An 18,987-nucleotide genomic window follows, 5' to 3' on the forward strand; every position below is an offset into this window, starting at 1 on the left:
CTGGGCGACAGAGTGAGACTCCATCTCAAAAAGAAAATAAGCATTATTATCGAAAAATATCCTTTAGAGACTGAAGGATGTGAAGAATTGCATTGCTGATTTTAGTTTCTAGAATAAGAATGTCATCCAGTGTAAGAGAAAAAGGGTGATCAATTCAATGTGGTTCATAGATATCATTCTCTAAGATGGCATGAATTGATAGTTCACCGTCTTTGGGGTAAACCCAACTTTTGTGAATTTCTAAAATCCAAGAGACAACCACCTCAGCTGCAAAGGATCTCATCCAGCTTAGGAGGTCAGTAGCAGCTGATAGGACAGGTTCCATTTTCACTTCCTCTTAGACATCTTGCCTGTCTCTGCCAACCTTCTGCTATCTGTCCCAGACTTTTACTTAAAGATAAAAAGAGAATGCTTATAATTCATTACAGTTCATTAAAATGAAAATAAAATTTATTTTGCATCAAAATGAAAAAAAGACTCATTTATTATTAGCATATAAATGGCATTTTTAAATGTCACTCTGCCTCAAAATCACTTACATTTTCAGTGATCATAGCACACAAAATTAATTTTTGATAGCCTTTTGTGATTTGGCTGGAAATTCTTATTTCTTTTTGTGCTTTAAACAGCAAACTGTATCCACTGCTATTCATAGCAAATTTTAGATAATGAAGCAATTAAAAATACATGGATTTAAGATCTTATCTCATTTTTCCTTTGGCCTATTTCTGCTTCATTATTCATGAAGGGATATGTTTAATTCAGAGTTAGTAATTGCAGATATATCTAGTATAAATTGTGCCTCATATTCTTTACCCATTTCAATTTATTTTAGCAAATAGATCTCTGTTTGAAAAAAAAGTCATTGAGAGAGGGTGAGTATGACAAAAATGCAGAAATCTGCGTGTATGTGTATATTGATTGACATATCCAAACCAGATCTCAAAAATGTTAATAACCACATTTCCTGAGGTTTTACCAAGAGCCAGGCACTGTGCTGAACAATTTTACACAGCATTTCACTCAATCCTAAGAGTAACTTTAGGAGGGCTGTATAGTTAGTGCTCCCATTTTTTAGATACGGAGACTGAGGCTCAGGTCAAAAAAGTGGCCTGAAGTCACATCATTAGAAATGACAAAGAACCAGAATTGGAACTTGGCTTGTCTGTCTCCACAGCCTCTGTATTAGACCATTCATCTCCTGTGTTCTAGAACAAAGTGTATTAAAGCCTCAAAGAGATTTGTCAAAGGCTGCTAAAATCGTCCTGCAGTTCCACCTAACAGCATCCAAAGTTCATAAAGTTGCTGGTCTGAGGAGCTGTGACTTATTTGGTTTCCATGAGCTCTAAATATATTTTAGGAATTTATCCTAGAGAAATAACAGGTACACATGGTTTCTTTTTTTTTCTTTCTTTTTTTTAAGTTCTAGGGTACACGTGCACAACATGCAAGTTTGTTTCATAGGTATACATGTGCCATGTTGGTTTGGGGCAACCATCACCTCGTCATTTACATTAGGTATTTCTCCTAATGCTATCCCTCCCCCAGTTCCCCACACCCCAATAGGCCCCAGTGTGTGATGTTCCCCTCACTGTGTCCATGTGTTCTCATTGTTCAACTCCCACTTATGAGTGAGAACATGTGGTGTTTGGTTTTCTGTCCTTGTGATATTTTGCTGAGAATGATGGTTTCCAGCTTCATCCATGTCCCTACTAAGGACATGAACTCATCCTTTTTTATGGCTGCATGGTATTTCATGGTGTATATGTGCCACATTTTCTTTTTTTATTTTTTTTTTATTATTTTGTTTTATTATTATACTTCAAGTTTTAGGGTACATGTGCACAACGTGCAGGTTTGTTACATATGTATACATGTGCCATGTTGGTGTGCTGCACCCATTAACGCGTCATTAGCATTAGGTATATCTCCTAATGCTATCCCTCCCCCCTCCCCCACCCCACAACAGTCCCCAGTGTGTGATGTTCCCCTTCCTGTGTCCATGCGTTCTCATTGTTCAATTCCCACTTAGGAGTGAGAACATGCAATGTTTGGTTTTTTGTCCTTGCGATAGTTTGCTGAGAATGATGGTTTCCAGTTTCATCCATGTCCCTACAAAGGACATGAACTCATCATTTTTTATGGCTGCATAGTATTCCATGGTGTATATGTGCCACATTTTCTTAATCCAGTCTATCATTGATAGATGTTTGGGTTGGTTCCAAGTCTTTGCTATTGTGAACAGTGCCACAATAAACATATGTGTGCATGTGTCTTTATAGTAGAATGATTTATAATCCTTTGGGTATATACCCAGTAATGGGATTGCTGGGTCAAATGGTTATTTCTAGTTTTAGATCATTGAGGCATCACCACACTGTCTTCCACAATGGTTGAACTAATTTACACTCCCACCAACAGTGTAAAAGCGTTCCTATTTCTCCACATCCTCTCCAGAATCTGTTGTTTCCTGACTTTTTAATGATCACCATTCTAAATGGCATGAGATGCTATCTCATTGTGGTTTTGATTTGCATTTCTCTGATGACCAGTGATGATGAGAATTTTTTCATATGTCTGTTGGCTGCATAAATGTCATCTTTTGAGAAGGGCCTGTTCATATCCTTTGCCCATTTTTTGATGGGGTTGTTTTTTTCTTGTAAATTTGTTTAAATTCTTCGTAGATTCTGGATATTAGCCCTTTGTCAGATGGATAGATTGCAAAAATTGTCTCCCATTCTGTAGGTTGCCTGTTCACTCTGATGATAGTGTCTTTTGCTGTGCAGAAGCTCTTTAGTTAAATTAGATCCCATTTGTCTATTTTGGCTTTTGTTGCCATTGCTTTTGGTGTTTTAGTCATGAAGTCTTTGCCCATGCCTATGTCCTGGATGGTATCGCCTAGGTTTTCTTCTAGGATTTTTATGGTTTTCGGTCTTCCATTTAAGTCTTTAATCCATCTTGAATTAATTTTTGCGTAAGGTATAAGGAAGGGATCCAGTTTCAGCTTTCTACATACGGCTAACCAGTTTTCCCAGCACCATTTATTAAATAGGTAATCCTTTCCCCATTTCTTGTTTTTGTCAGATTTGTCAAAGATCAGATGGTTGTAGGTGTGTGGTGTTATTTGAGGCCTCTGTTCTATTCCATATGTCTATATATCTGTTTTGGTACCAGTACCATGCTGTTTTGTTTACTGTAGCCTTGTAGTATAGTTTGAAGTCAGGTAGCATGATGCCTCCAGCTTTGTTCTTTTTGCTTAGGATTGTCTTGGCTATGTGGGCTCTTTTTTGGTTCCATATGAAATTTAAAGCAGTTTTTTTCCAATTCTGTGAAGAAAGTCAGTGGTAGCTTGAGGGGAATAGCATTGAATCTATAAATTACCTTAGGCAGTATGGCCATTTTCATGATATTGGTTCTACCTATCCATGAGCATGGAATGTTTTCCATTTGTTTGTGTCCTCTCTTATTTCCTTGAGCAGTGGTTTGTAGTTCTTCTTGAAGAGGTCCTTCACATCCCTTGTAAGTTGGATTCCTAGGTATTTTATTCTCTTTATAGCAATTGTGAATGGCAGTTCACTCATGATTTGGCTCTCTGTCTGTTATTGGTGTATAGGAATGCTTGTGATTTTTGCACATTGATTTTGTATCTTGAGACTTTGCTGAAGTCGCTTATCAGCTTAAGGAGATTTTGGGCTGAGACAATGGGTTTTCTAAGTATATAATCATGTCATCTGCAAACAGAGACAATTTGACTTCCTCTTTTCCTAACTGAATATCCTTTATTTCTTTCTCTTGCCTGATTGCCCTGGCCAGAACTTCCAATGCTATGTTGAATAGGAGTGTCAAGAGAGGGCATCCTTGTCTTGTGCCAGTTTTCAAAGGGAATGCTTCCAGTTTTTTCCCATTCATTATGATACTGGCTGTGGGTTTGTCATAAATAGTTCTTATTATTTTGAGATACATTCCATCAATACCTAGTTTATTGAGAGTTTTTAGCATGAAAGGCTGTTGAATTTTGTTGAAGGCCTTTTCTGCTCTATTGAGATAATCATGTGGCTTTTGTCTTTCATTCTGTTTATGTGATGGATTACGTTTATCGATTTGTGTATATTGAACAAGCCTTGCATCCCAGGGATGAAGCTGAGTTGATCATGGTGGATAAGCTTTTTGATGTGCTGCTGGATTCAGTTTGCCAGTATTTTATTGAGGATTTTCGCATCGATATTCATCAGGGATATTGGCCTAAAATCCTCTTTTTTTGTTTTGTCTCTGCCAGGCTTTGGTATCACGATGATGCTGGCCTCATAAAATGAGTTAGGGAGGATTCCCTCTTTTTCCATTGATTGGAATAGTTTCAGACAGAATGATACCAGCTCTTCTTTGTACCTCTGGTAGAATTTGGCTGTGAATCCATCTGGTCCTGGACTTTTTTTGGGTGGTAGGCTATTAATTATTGCCTCCATTTCAGAACCTGTTATTGGTCTATTCAGAGATACAACTTCTTCCTGGTTTAGTCTTGGGAGGGTGTGTGTGTCCAGGAATTTATCCATTTCCTCTAGATTTTCTAGTTTAATAACATAGAGGTGTTTATAGAATTCTCTGATGGTAGTTTGTATTTCTGTGGGATCGGTGGTGATACCTCATTTATCATTTTTTATTGCATCTATTTGATTCTTCTCTCTTTTCTTCTTTATTAGTCTTGCTAGTGGTCTGTTTTGTTGAACTTTTCAAAAAACCATCTCCTGGATTCATTGATTTTTTTGAAGAGTTTTTTATGTTTCTGTCTCCTTCAGTTCTGCTCTCATCTTAGTTATTTCTTGTCTTCTGCTAGCTTTTGAATTTGTTTGGTCTTGCTTCTCTAGTTCTTTTAATTGTGATGTTAGCATGTCAATTTTAGATCTTTCCTGCTTTCTTTTATGGGCATTTAGTGCTATGAATGTCCCTCTACACACTGCTTTAAATGTGTCCCAGAGGTTCTGGTAGTTTGTGTCTTTGTTCTCATTGGTTTCAAAGAACATCTTTATTTCTGCCTTCATTTTGTTATATACCCAGTAGTCATTAAGGATCAGGTTGTTCAGTTTCCATGTAGTTGTGCAGTTTTGAGTGAATTTCTTAATCCTGAGTTCTAATGTGATTGCACTGTGGTCTGAGAGACAGTTTGTTGTGATTTTTAGTGTTTTACATTTGCTGAGGAGTGTTTTAATTCCAATTATGTGGTCAATTTTAGAATAAGTGTGTTGTGGTGCTGAGAAGAATGTATATTCTATTGATTTGGGGTGGAGAGTTCTGTGGATGTCTATTATGTCCACTTGGTCTGGAGCTGAATTCAAGTCCTGGATATCCTTGTTAATTTTCTGTCTTGTTGATCTGTCTAATATTGACAGTGGGGTGTTTAAGTCTCCTGTTATTAGTGTGTGGGAGTCTAAGTCTCTTTGTAGGTCTCTAAGAACTTACTTTATGAATCTGGGTGTTCCTGTATTGAGTGCGTATATATTTAGGATAGTTAGCTCTTCTTGCTGAATTGATCCCTTTACCATTATGTAATGGCCTTCTTTATCTCTTTTGATCTTTGTTGGTTTAAAGTCTGTTTTATCAGAGACCAGGATTGCAACCCCTGCTTCTTTTTTTGCTTTCCATTTGCTTGGTAGATCTTCCTCCATCCCTTTATTTTGAGCCTAGGTTTGTCTTTTCACGTGAAATGGATCTCCTGAATACAGCACACTGATAGGTCTTGACTCTTTATCCAATTTGCCAGTCTGTGTTTTTTCATTGGGGTATTTAGCTCGTTTACATATAAGGTTAATATTGTTATGTATGAATTTGATCCTGTCATTATGATGCTAGCTGGTTATTTTGCCCGTTAATTTATGCAGATTCTTCATAGTGTCAATTGTCTTTACAATTTGGCATGTTTTCACAGTGGCTCATACTGGTTGTTCTTTTCCATATTTAGTCCTTCCCTCAGGAGCTCTTGTGAGTCAGGCCTGCTGGTGACAAAATCTCTCAGCATTTGCTTGTCTGTACAGGATTTTATTTCTCCTCCACTTATAAAGCTTAGTTTGGCTGGATATGAAATTCTGGGTTGAAAATTCTTTAAGAATGTTGAATATTGGCCCCCACTCTCTTCTGGCTTGTAGGGTTTCTGCAGAGAGATCTGCTGTTAGTCTGATGGGCTTCCCTTTGCGGGTAACCCAACCTTTCTCTCTGGCTGAACTTAACACTTTTTCCTTCTTTTCAACCTTGGCGAATCTGACAATTATGTGTCTTGGGGTTGCTCTTCTTGAGGAGTATTTTGTGGTGTTCTTTGTATTTCCTGAATTTCATTGTTGGCCTGCCTTGCTAGGTTGGGGAAGTTCTCCTGGATAATATCCTAAAGAATGTTTTCCAACTTGATTCCATTCTCCCTGTCACTTTCAGGTACGCCAGTCAAACGTAGATTTGGTCTTTTCACATAGCCCCGTATTTCTTAGAGGCTTTGTTCATTTCTTTTCATTCTTTTTTCTCTAATCTTGTCTTCTTACTTTATTTCATTAATTTGATCTTCAATCACTTGTATCCTGTCTTCTACTTGATGGAATCAGCTACTGAAGCTCGTGTATGCTCCCCGAAGTTCTCGTGCTGTGGTTTTCAGCTCCATCAGGTCATTTAAGCTCTTCTCTATACTGGTTATTCTAGTTAGCCATACGTCTAACCTTTTTTCAAGGTTTTTAGCTTCCTTGCGATGGGTTAGAACATGCTCCTTTATCTCGGAGAAGTTTGTTATTATTGACCTTCTGAAGCCTACTTCTGTCAACTCGTCAAACTCATTCTCCATCCAGTTTTGATCCCTTGCTGGCAAGAAGTAGTGTTCTTTGGAGGAGAAGAGGTGTTCTGGCTTTTGGAATTTTCAGCCTTTCTGCTCTGGTTTCTCCCCATCTTTGTGGTTTTATCTACCTTTGGTTTTTGATGTTGGTGACCTATGGATGGGGTTTTGGTGTGGATGTCCTTTTGTTGATGTTGATGCTATTCCTTTCTGTTTGTTAGTTTTCCTTCTAACAGTCAGGCCCCTCAGCTACAGGTCTGTTGGAGTTTGCTTGAGGTCCACTCCAGACCGTGTTTGCCTAGGTATCACCAGCGGAGGCTGCAGAACAGCAAATCTTTTTGCCTGATCCTTCCTCTGGAAGCTTCATCCCAGAGGGGCACCTGCCTGTATGAGGTGTCTGTCAGCCCCTACTGGGAGGTGTCTCCCAGACAGGCTACACGGGGGTCAGGGACCCACTTGAGGAGGCAATCTGTCCGTTATTGGAGCTTGAACACCATGCTGTGAGAACCACTGCTCTCTTCAGAACTGTCAAGCAGGGACTTTTTCCATGTGGTATCTTTTAATACAAGTTGTCACAGGGTTTTATACACCAGTAAAAAAGCAGGAAAGAGGAAAGAAAAAAGGAAATGGCTCAACAATGTTCAATTATATGTTAAATAAATCCTGATGCATTTATTTAGTATTATACTGTAACACCATCAAAAATGAGTTGTGAGGCCAAGGCAGGTGGATAGCTTGAGTCCAGGAGTTCAAGACCAGCCTGGGAAACATAGTGAGACCCCATCTCTACAAGAATAAACAAAACTAGCTGGACATTGTTGCACGTGCCTGTAGTGCCAGCTACTTGGGAGGCTGAGGAGGGAGGATTATTTGAGCCTGGGAGGTCGAGGCTGCAATGAGCTAGGATGGCACCACTGCACTCCAGCCTCGGCGATAGAGTGAGATCCAGTCTCAAAAAGAGAATCTTAGTTTACTGACATGTAAAAAATGTGTCTGCAGGTTATAAAAGTGGCAGGTCCATAAAACAATATATGTAATGTATCCCTTTTCTAAAAAAAAAAAACTACATATGTGTATATATATGTGTAAATGAGGAAAGAGAGAAGCCAGGACATCTCAGCTTTTCTGAGATTTTGCACAACAAAAACATAACACAAGCCACATATGTAATTTAAAATTTTCTTTTTTATTTATTATTATTATTTCTTTTTTATTTTATTATTTTTTCTCCCCCACTTGTAAATAGCATTATTGCTTTACTGATGATCAGCTTTGTTTTATAAAAAACTCAGAAAATTCAGTAAAGTATGCACAAGAAAGGAAAAATGTCATAACTACACCAGCCAAAGATCAGTCCCCTGTATCTAACAGTGTGTGTGAATCTTGCTAGACCTGCCCTGTGCTATTTGGTGGTCATGAGCCACGTGACTCCTGAGCACTGGAAGTGTGGCTGGTCCAAACTGAGACGTGCTGTAAGTGTCAAAGACATGCTGGATTCCAGAGATTTAGAACCAAAGAAGATAGTACAATATCTCATTAATAATTTTTCTATTGGTTACAGGTTGAAATGCTAATATTTGAAGTATTTAAAAATAAAATATGCTACTAAAATTAATTTTACCTGTTTTTTCACTTTTTATTATAGCTATTAGAAAATTTTAAATTTCTCATGCCTGTAATCCCAGCACTTGGGGAGGCCGAGGCAGGCAGATCACCTGAGGTCAGGAGTTTGAGACCAGCCTGATGAACATGGGGAAACGCCACCTCTAATAAAAATACAAAAATTAACCGGGCATGGTGGTGCGTGCCTGTAATCCCAGCTACTCAGGAGGCTGAGGAAGCATTGTTTGAACCCAGGAGGCAGAGGTTGCAATGAGCCAAGATTGCGCCACTGCACTGCACCCTGGGCGAAAGAGTGAAACTCCGTCTCAAAAAAAATTAATATTTTGATACAGCCATGCAATGTGAAATAATCAAATCATGGAGAATGGAGTATCCATCCCCTGAAGCATTTGTCCTTTGTGTTAGAAACAATCCAATTAAGCTCCTTTAGTTATTTAAAAATGTACAATTAAGTTATTGACTATAGTCACCCTGTGTGGTATCAAATAGTAGGTCTTATTTATTCTTTTTTTTTTTTGGAGACAGTCTCGCTCTGTCACCCAGGCTGGGGTGTAGTGGCATGATCTGGGCTCACTGTAGCCTCTGCCTCCTGAGTTCAAGCGATTCTTGTGCTTCAGCCTCCCAAGTAGCTGGGATTTCAGGCATGCACCACCACGTTTGGCTAATTTTTTATATTTTTAGTAGAGATGGGGTTTCGCCATGTTGTCCAGGCTGGTCTCAAACTCCTGAGCTCAGGCAATCTGCCCGCCGTGGCCTCCTGAAATGCTAGGATTATAGGCACGAACCACCATGCCTGGCCTTATTTATTTCTAGGTATTTCTTTGTTCTCATTAACATTCTCCCTGTCACCCCACTATTCTTTCCAGCCTCTGTTAACCATCCTTCTACTCTCTATCTCCATAAGTTCATTGTTTTTATTTTTAGATCCCACAAATAAATGAGAACATGCAGTTTGTCTTTCTGTGCCTGGCTTATTTCACTTAACATAATGACCTCCAGTTCCATCTATGTTGTTGCAAATGACAGGACCTCATTCTTTTTCATGGCTGAATAGTACTCCAAATGGAAAGTCTCTTTAGTGATCTTCTGACTCAGTCAATAAAATGCATCAATATTCCACTGGGTATGCATGCCTCTATTCTAGATTCTGGAGGTACTGGAGAAAACAAAACAGGCAAAACTGCCACCCTCATGGAGCATGAGTTCTGGTAGGAGAGACAGAAAAAAAATGCAAGAAAATACGCAATATTTCACGTGTTGATGAGAGCTATGGAGACAAAGGAGAAGGGAGAAGACCAAGGTGTTCTAATGAAGGATGATCAGGAAGGCTCGTGTTATAAGGTGACATTGTGCAGAGACGTGGGGGAAATGAGTGAATGTGTCTTGAGGCTGAGAGACAGCCGTCTGGCAAGTCCACAGGCCCCTAAGCAGAAACAAGCTTGGCGTGATGGAGGAATCACAAGGGGCTGTAATGGCTGGAGCAGAGCTTATCCTCCCAGTTGAGGAGGTAGGAAGTAGAGGTTGAGATTTTGGAGTCGAGCAGACCTGAGATATCTAATATACAATTTTAAGGCACTGGTGTTGCTGTGATAGAACCTTTCTGGGTCACCCCAAAGTACTGACAATGACAAATATATTGGGCAGGCGGTGTGGGGAATGTCAGAGAAAGAGGCTGAGTTTTTCTCTGGGTCCATGCAGTGCAGAGAGAAGAGAATAAATGTGAGACAGAGAGAAACGGGAGCAGGAACTTGGAGGTAGAAATAATCAAAAGAAACAGGAACCCTGAGGAATCTGCAAAAGTCTTGGCAAGATGTTCAACTCATAGGATGTGGGATATAAGCTCAGGCCAAATTTATTTAAAATGCAAAGGAAGAGGTGACCACAGCTTACCTCTGGGCCAAGCTTATTTAGTATACCAAATATTTGAAGAATCATTTCTTCTTAATTTGGTTTGTTCTTAGTAGATGCTCCCACTGGTTTAAACCTGAATTTCAAGCTGTTGTGTTTTTTTTAAACCTACACTAAATAATACACGGGTGGGTGAAAAGCAGAAGGAGGCTTTGTGAATGAGCTTTTTTAAATAGTGAGATTCCTTGGCATGCATAAAATGTTATTTGGGATAGAAGAAAGCTTGATTTATGAAAATCTTCCCTAGGCCACGTAGTGCAGAATCAGGGGACTCTGGCATCGCCGCCCGGCATGCAAATAAACGTTTCCAGCAGTTCTTTAGAGTATGCATTTCTTGTTTTTTTGGCTGCAGAAAGTATGGTGTCCAAAAATTAGGTAGGGTTTGCTTTGCATTCCAGTTGTCCGTGTTGCCAGAAAACAATGCCATCTGGATGTCATTCCTTCACCTAGAGTAAGGCGCTGTCACCATGCGTAAGCATTATAACATAATCTCTGGGTTACAGTCCTGGCTGGTCACTGACTAGCTTGGAAAGTTTACCACAAATCCTCTGAGTCTCACTTCTCCCTACTGTAAAGGCAGGATAATTATTAATTTGAGAACACGTTTGGTTGTACTGAGGATCCAATAAGAGAATATTTGGCAGAAAAATCTGGCCAATGGTAAATGGTATTCAGTAAATAAACACATTTTGGTCGTCAGCAGAGAGCTACCTGGATTTTATTTTATTTCCTTCCTTTTTTTTTTATCGTAGAGAAAAATGACAGGGATTCACTTTCTAAGAAATTACACTATGTTCAATGACTTCCCATCAAGAGTAGGCAATGTTCCGTATCCTGCCATTGGTAAGTATCAAATGGGCCCGTGTCAGACAAGTCATGGCTTTTAATCTCCCTTTATTGGCCACGTCACCTGTCAGTGACCTTGACTGTTGCCGGCTGCCTCATGTTCTGCAGTTTCCTGATAAGTGTGTTTCCGGCTTTTGAAGTTATGTCTGCCGAAAACCACATCTGGTTCACCGCCGCCTCAACAGACACACAATGAAATACAAAAGGCTAATTCTGCTGTGTACGCAATCCATGTTTCTTTCCCCAGAGGATTCCAGATGGAGTGAACTCAGTAGAGGCGGTGCTTCGACGGCTGATGATCTTGCGGAGAGGAGAGAGGAGCATTAGTTACGGTTTTAAGTCCCGGCTGAACTGGCAGGGGTTACATGACCTCAGACTCAGGGGTAAGTGCGCAAGCTCTCGCCCCTGGAAGGGCTGTGATGCCTTTCAACAGCCACACCTCTCCGTTGAACCCATCAACACCCTTTGTGCAGAGGTGGGTTGAGATTTCTCAGATGAAGTAACATTTCCTACTCTAGTAGTCTCAATTGGTAAATATAATTGTTTTTTTTTTTTTTTTTTTGAGACGGAGTCTTGCTCTGTCGCCCAGGCTGGAGTGCAGTGGCGCGATCTCGGCTCACTGCAAGCTCCGCCTCCCGGGTTCACGCCATTCTCCTGCCTCAGCCTCCCGAGTAGCTGGGACTACAGGCGCCCGCAACCACGCCAGGCTAATTTTTTTGGTATTTTTTAGTAGAGACGGGGTTTCACCGTGTTAGCCAGGATGGTCTCAATCTCCTGACCTCGTGATCCGCCCGCCTCGGCCTCCCAAAGTGCTGGGATTACAGGCGTGAGCCACCGCGTCCGGCCGGTAAATATAACTTTAATGTGGACATCAGAAGGAATTCTGGTATTACGAGTGGTGGGAGAAGCATTTTATACTTTATTAGGGTATGAATAACAACATCTTTATTTACTTTTAACTTTTATTTTAGGTTTAGGGGTACATGTGCAGGTTTGTTATAAAGGTTAAATTGCATGTCATTGGGGTTTGGTGTCCAGATTATTTCATCACTCTTGTAATGAGCACAGTACCCAATAAGTAGTTTTTTGATGCTCACCCTCCTCCTTCCCTCCCTGCTCAAGTAGGCCCTGGTGCCTGCTGTTCCCTTCTTTGTGTCCATATATACTCAATGTTTAGCTCCCACTTATAAGTGAGAACATGCGACATTAGATTTTCTGTTCCTGAGTTAGTTCACTTAGGATAATAGCCTCCGGCTTCCTCCATGTTGCTGCAAAGGACATAATCTAATTCTTTTTTATGGCTGTGTAGTATTCCAGGCTGTATAATTACCACATTTTCTTTATCCAGTCTACCGTTGATGGGCATTTAGGTGGATTCCATGTCTTTGCTATTGTGAATAGTGCCGTGATGGACATACATGTGCATGTGTCTTTATGGCAGAACAATGTATATTCCTTTGGGTATATGCCCAGTAATGTGATCGACAACATATTTATTTAAAAATTGAGCACTTATTTAAAAAATCTTAAGTGCTTTCTTCATTGGCTGTGAAAGCTCTGAGTTTTCTGTGAATGTCATTAGGTCCATTGTACACATGTGAAAAGTAAAGCAACACACCCAAAGATGGTCAGTCCTTTGAACTTGGGTTGTTTGATGTTTGTGACTATTACATAGATGCCATTTATATTGAGTATATGTCTAGCAGCTTTATTGCTGGGTCACAGGCTGGACGTATGTTTAGTTGCTGGAGATTGCCAACTCATTTTCCAAAGCTGTTATACCCATTTGTATCAATTTTTTCCAAGCAGCACAGCCAAATTTGAAGCTGGATCTGGCTGATTCCAGCTCTAACTTTTTTTTTTTTTTTTTTTTTTTTGGAGAGAGGGTCTCACTCTGCCACCCAGGTGGGAGTACAGTGGCACAATCACAACTCACTGCAGCTTTGATCTCCCTGGGCTCAAGTGATCCTCCTACCCCAGCCTCCCAAGAAGCTGGTACTGTAGGCATACTCCACCATGCCCAGCTAATACTTGTATTTTTTATAGAGAAGGGATTTCATCATGCTGCACAGGCTGGTCTCGAACTCCTAGGCTCAAGCAACATGCCGAAGTGCTGGGACTACAGGTGTGAGCCACCACGCCTGGCCCCTAATATATATGTGTGTGTATTTTATATACGTATATATAATGTATTACACATATTTTTACATTATATATATTTTACATATATATTTTATGTATTATATATTTTACATATATATTAGAAACATTTACACATATATATTTACATGTATATTTTACATGTATATGTTTATATATTTTTTATGTATTTATTTTACATATATTTTAAGATATATAAAATTCATAGCAGGCAAAAACAGCTTCTAATATTTTGAACCATTGTACTATATCCTACGAAAGTACTAAGTATAAATAAGAGAGACTTCCCGGAGAACCATTGCTCCTGGCCAGTAGAGGGTTTGGTTTTTGGAGGTGGTTTTGTTTTGTAAACGTCTTTGTTAATATGGAACATTCAGACAAGTGCATAAATCTTAAGTGAGCAGCTCAGTGAATTTTTGCAAAGTGATTATTACCATGCAGCTACCACCTGACCAGGATATAAAGCATTTCTAGCACCACTGACAGCCTTCCTCCAACTTTGTTCTTATTCCAAATTATCTTTACTCTAGTGACCCTTCACAATTCCACATGCCATTTAGCATGATGCGGTCATTTTCCACAACAAAAAAATCCTGCTGGGATTTTGATTGAGATTGCATTGAATTGATTGATTAATCTGAAGATTTTGTTAGATTGGTTCTTTCTTCCCTAAGTATTCAAAATAATTCACTGGTAAAAACACGTAGGCCTGGGGTGGTTGTGTGTGTGTGTGTGGTGTGGAGGGACTGAGAGAAGGGATGAATTATAATTACAGATTTAATTTCTTTTTTTAATTTGTAATTTTTGTGGGTCAATAGTATGCATATGTATTTTGGGGTATACGAGATATTTTGATACAGGCATATGATGTGTGATAATCATGTCAGGGTAAAGGGAGTGTCCATCACCTCAAGTATTTATCCTGTCTTTGTGTTACAAACAATCCAGTTATACTCTTTTAGTTATTTTAAAATGTACAATGAATTATTGACTGTAGTCATCCCGATGTGCTATCAAATACAGATCTTATTCTGTTGAACTCTGTACCCATTAACTATCCCCCCAGCCACTAGCCTCTGATAACCACGGTCCAACTCTCTATCTCCACAAGTTCAATTGTTTTTCTTTTTAGCTCCCACAAATGAGTGAGAACATGGGAAGCTTGTCTTTCTGTGCCTGGCTTATTTCAATGAACAGAATGACCTCCAGTTTCATCCGTGTTGTTGCAAATGACAGGATCTCATTCTCTTTTATGGAGGAATAGTACTCCATTGTGTATGTGTACCAAATTTTCTTTATCCATTCCTCTGTTGGCGGGCACTTAGATTCTTCTAGATCGTGGCTACTGTGACAAGTGCTGCAGTAAACACGGGAGTGCAGGTATTTCTTTGATACACTGATTTCCTTTCTCTTGGGTATATATCTAACAGTGAGATTCCTAGATCATAGGGTAGTTCAATTTTTAGTTTTTTTGAGGAACACCCTAGATTTAATTTATTAGCTATTGGAGTATTCGGATTTTCTGTTTCTTATGTCAGTTTTGCTAGGTCATTTTTAGGGAAAAACTTCCATTTTATCTAAATCTTCCAATCTATTGACTTAAAGCTGTTCTACAACGCATCAAGGAATTATTTTATGTGATAGATACGTTCTATGTGTTGATTGTGGTCATATTTACATGGGGGTATACATTTGTCAAGTCTTATTCAACTGTGCACTTAAAATGGGTACATTATATGTATTTACATTATATGTAAATTATAGCTCAGTGTGGTTCAATAAAAATTTACAATTGATACCATTTTATTTTTACCTGTACTTATGAAAAAAGTTAAAAAGTTTAATCATATCAAGTGTTGGCAGTAAGATAGGCTACACTGCAAGAGAGGGTATACATTGCCACAACCACCTGGAAGAACAATTTGGAAATACTATTTATTTATAGATTGATTGATGGAGTCTCACTCTGTCACCCAGGCTGGAGTGTAGTGGTGCAGTCTAGGCTCACTGCAACCTCTGCCTCCTTTGTTCAAGTGATTCTCCTGCTTCAGTCTCCCAAGTAGCTGGAATTACAGGCATGCTCCACCATACCCAGCTAATTTTTCTATCTTTAGTAGAGATGGGGTTTCACCATGTTGGCCAGAATGGTCTCGAACTCCTGACCTCAAGTGATCCACCCCCCACTGGCCTCCCAAAGTGTTGGGATTACAGGCGTGAGCCACCACACCCAGCCTGGAAATTCTTTTAAAATGGGAAATGATTATATGCTATCACCTACAGGGACACATTTTAGGGAGATCCTCACACATGTGCTCAAAGAGATGATGCAACATTTATTGCAGTTCTGTTTGTAAGAGAAAAAAAAATTAAAAATGTAACCATCACTCAGAGGTGAATGGTGGTAAACATACATGGTAAAATAGCTCTTAAATATAGCAAATTAAAATTACATGTTTGCAACTTGGACAAATCCCTCAAAGGAGTGAGAAAAAAATTACAAAGGAACTACAGTTGATGCCATTTATATATAAATTTTTAAAAGCACTATTCTTCCCCCGGTGTCATAAAAATTTTAGCTGAGTATGTGGAAATCCAGAATAAAGATTTCCTTGCAGCTAGGTGTGCCCATGTTTAAGCTATGTTCAACAGGATGTGAGGTGTGTTCAGCAATTCTGGAAACCTTCCCTAAGTGACAGCTGAGGAAAACCTTTTAACTCTGTCACTTCCTTCTCCTACCTGTCTTTCCCCCTTTTTTCTTTCTGTGTTTGTTTCCCAGGGCTACTGTAAGCAGACAGGAGGAGTCTCCAGGGATTGTAGGAATTTAATCCATTTGAGCAATCAGGCTGTTTTACAGCTTCCTGCCCTGCAGCCTGTTCTTCCCCAGCCCTGGGTAGAAAGAGGTCATCTTGTCAGTTTAAACCAGCTCCTGACAAGTGATGAACCCAAGTGAACGTTCCTTATTACCATGCTCAAGTCTCTACCCTGGGAAAAGCTATAGCTTCCTTACCATAACATGCAAACTATGTGCTGGCATGATGACTTACTGTGTCTGTACATCTACGTGGGATGACGTGTACCCTCTCTCCTCTCTATCACCCCATAAAACCCTCGTCACTTTCCCTCTGAGAGACACTGCTTTGGAGAATCCTCCCAGTGTCGTCCTTACTTGAGCCAAGTAATAAAACTCCCATTGATCAAAACCTGCTTCCTTGTGGAGAGTCATTTGTTACTTGTCAGGGGAATGAACCCCGGTGTTTTTCGGGTAACGCTACTGTAGCAAAGAGCTGTAAACTAGGTGGCTTTAAACAACAGAAATTTATTCTCTGACAGCTCTGGAGGCTTTAGAAGTCTGAAGTCAGTGCTCTCTGGGGGCTCTAGAGAAGAATGGATTATGTGCCTTGCTCCCACCTCCTTGTGTTGCTGGTGATCTTTGGCCCTCCCTGGCTACAGATACATCCACTATCTGCCCCTGTCTTCAGATTGCATCCTCTCACATGTGTCCGATTCTGGGTCTCTCCTCTTCTTATAAGGACACCCGTCACACTGGATCAGGACCCACCCTAAACCAGTATCTTAACTTGATCACACCTGCAAAGACCTTATTTTCAAGTAAGGCCACATTTGAAAATCAGGGGGGGTGGGGTTAGGACTTTAACATATTTTTTGTGGGAACACAGTTCAACCCACACCATCTTCCTATCCTCCTCCTATTTCTTTAATCCTTCTAAACCTTTCTGTGGGTTGGGATGTGAATGTGATAGCAGGAGCTATAACAGCTGTATTGGACCATGAGGTAAATTCAGAAATAGACTCCAGGAATGGAGGACCTAAAAAATCAAAGACAGTTGGGTTCCTAACATAATAATGAGGCCACATCAGGTATAGACTACCTATGAAGACTCTCATATGCAAAATAAATAAATATTTATCTTTTAAACCTCTCTTCTCTTTGTGTTGGGGTTTTTTCACTTGCAGTCAAATCTAATCTTAATACACACACACACATGCACACACACACACACACACATTTGCTCATATGATTTGTTGGACTCTAAGTGTGAACATACTAAACTTATGAAGCGTGGCTATCTCTGAGGAAGAGAGAGTAGAATGAGAAATGATGGTCAGAGGGAACTTCAACTTCCTCTGACACCTTTTATTTCTTTAAGTAAAAGAAGACAAATATACTAAAAGTTTAGTATTAATAGCTTTGAATTATAGATGGTGGAAATCTTTGATAACATTAATATTTGAATTTTGAATTTTAAAAATTTGTCCTTCCAGAATCTCCTCAAATATTAAGAGGACTCTATTTGCACCTTTTACTCCAAGTCGCATGAATCAGTGTGAAATTCCTGGAATGTACTGGCTATTTTTTTTCTTTTTTTTGAGAGAGTCTCACTCTGTCACCCAGGGTGGAGTGCAGTGGCGTGATCTCAGTTCACTGCAACCTCCACCTCCTGCCTCAAGTGGTTCTCCTGCCTCAGCCTCCTGAATAACTGCAATTACAGGTGTGCACCACCATGTCCACCTAATTTTTATATTTTTAGTAGAGATGGGGTTTCACTATGTTGGCCAGGCTGGTCTTGAATTTCTGACCTCAGGTGATCTGCCTACTTCAGCCTCCCAAAGTGCTGGGATTACAGGCATGAGCCACCATGCTTGGCCCCTGCACTGGCTATTTTTGACCCTCTCTGGACATACTACCTGCCCCAGTTGGACTGTCCTCCTTTTCCTCACCTGGGCATCTCCTAAGCATCCTCCAGTCTCAGCTCCAAGTTAATGACAGGTGATGAGACATCTAAGTAAACATTTGGAAAATCAGCGAAAATTAATTTCCATCAGATTCCATAATAAAAGCCCAATAGATGGTTCTTTTTCATAATTGCCTAAATTACAAAAGTAACACTTGCTCACCATAAGAAATGCAAAGACCAGGATAATAAAACTTGATAAGAGCAAAAATTGAAATCTGCCTTTTATCATCTCCATTGTATCCCAGGCACAACTAATCTGTATAAAGGTTTAAATATCTTAAAACTAAACTGTAGAGCACTAGGATAAAATTGGGGACTATTTTAAAAATCCAATGGTAGGAATGAATATTTCTTACATGGAACTGAAGGTGGAAACTTTAACCAGATTCTTCTGTAATTAAAACAGTTTTAAAAATCTTACATAAATGAAAAACTAGGAAAATATCTGCAACATATACAATGGACCAGAATTACAATATCCTTAATATGTAAAGGGATATTTCAAATTCATACAGAAAGAAAAAACAGGTATTTTATTTTATTTTATTTTATTTTATTTGCGACTGAGTCGTGCTCTGTTGTCCAGGCTGGAGTGCAGTGGCGTGATCTCCACTCACTGCAACCTCTGCCTCCTGGGTTCAAGCAATTCTCGTGCCTCAGTCTCCCAAGTAGCTGGGATTATAGGCACCTGCCAGCACGCCAGGTTAATTTTTGTATTTTTTCTAGAAACAGGTTTCACCATGTTGACCAGGCTGGTCTCAAACTCCTGACCTCAAGTGATCTACCCACCTTGGCCTCCCAAAGTGCTGGGATTACAGGTGTGAGCCACTGTGCCCAGCCACAACAGGCAATTTTGGAGAGCAAAAACTAAGTGTAACTGGTACATAAAAA

General features: G+C 39.7%; 4 annotated features.

Annotated features, from left to right (window-relative positions):
- Positions 209-258: an enhancer, noted in NCBI's record as "active region_10499". NCBI's record gives its function as "activates an Ori minimal core promoter by ATAC-STARR-seq in GM12878 lymphoblastoid cells {active_cell/tissue: GM12878}" and the evidence as "EXISTENCE:reporter gene assay evidence [ECO:0000049][PMID:35858748]".
- Positions 11,218-11,362: an enhancer, noted in NCBI's record as "145 bp enhancer 79/80 fragment used in the MPRA reporter construct; PK_construct_4069". NCBI's record gives its function as "activates an SV40 promoter by MPRA in HepG2 and K562 cells {active_cell/tissue: HepG2 | K562}" and the evidence as "EXISTENCE:reporter gene assay evidence [ECO:0000049][PMID:23512712]".
- Positions 11,282-11,299: a transcriptional cis regulatory region, noted in NCBI's record as "GATA motif; enhancer activity is reduced when this motif is scrambled". NCBI's record gives its function as "necessary for full MPRA enhancer 79/80 activity {active_cell/tissue: HepG2 | K562}" and the evidence as "EXISTENCE:site-directed mutagenesis evidence [ECO:0005528][PMID:23512712]".
- Positions 11,400-11,499: an enhancer, noted in NCBI's record as "active region_10500". NCBI's record gives its function as "activates an Ori minimal core promoter by ATAC-STARR-seq in GM12878 lymphoblastoid cells {active_cell/tissue: GM12878}" and the evidence as "EXISTENCE:reporter gene assay evidence [ECO:0000049][PMID:35858748]".

This window comes from Homo sapiens, chromosome 16 (assembly GCF_000001405.40).
Source record: "Homo sapiens chromosome 16, GRCh38.p14 Primary Assembly".
NCBI lineage: Eukaryota > Metazoa > Chordata > Mammalia > Primates > Hominidae > Homo > Homo sapiens.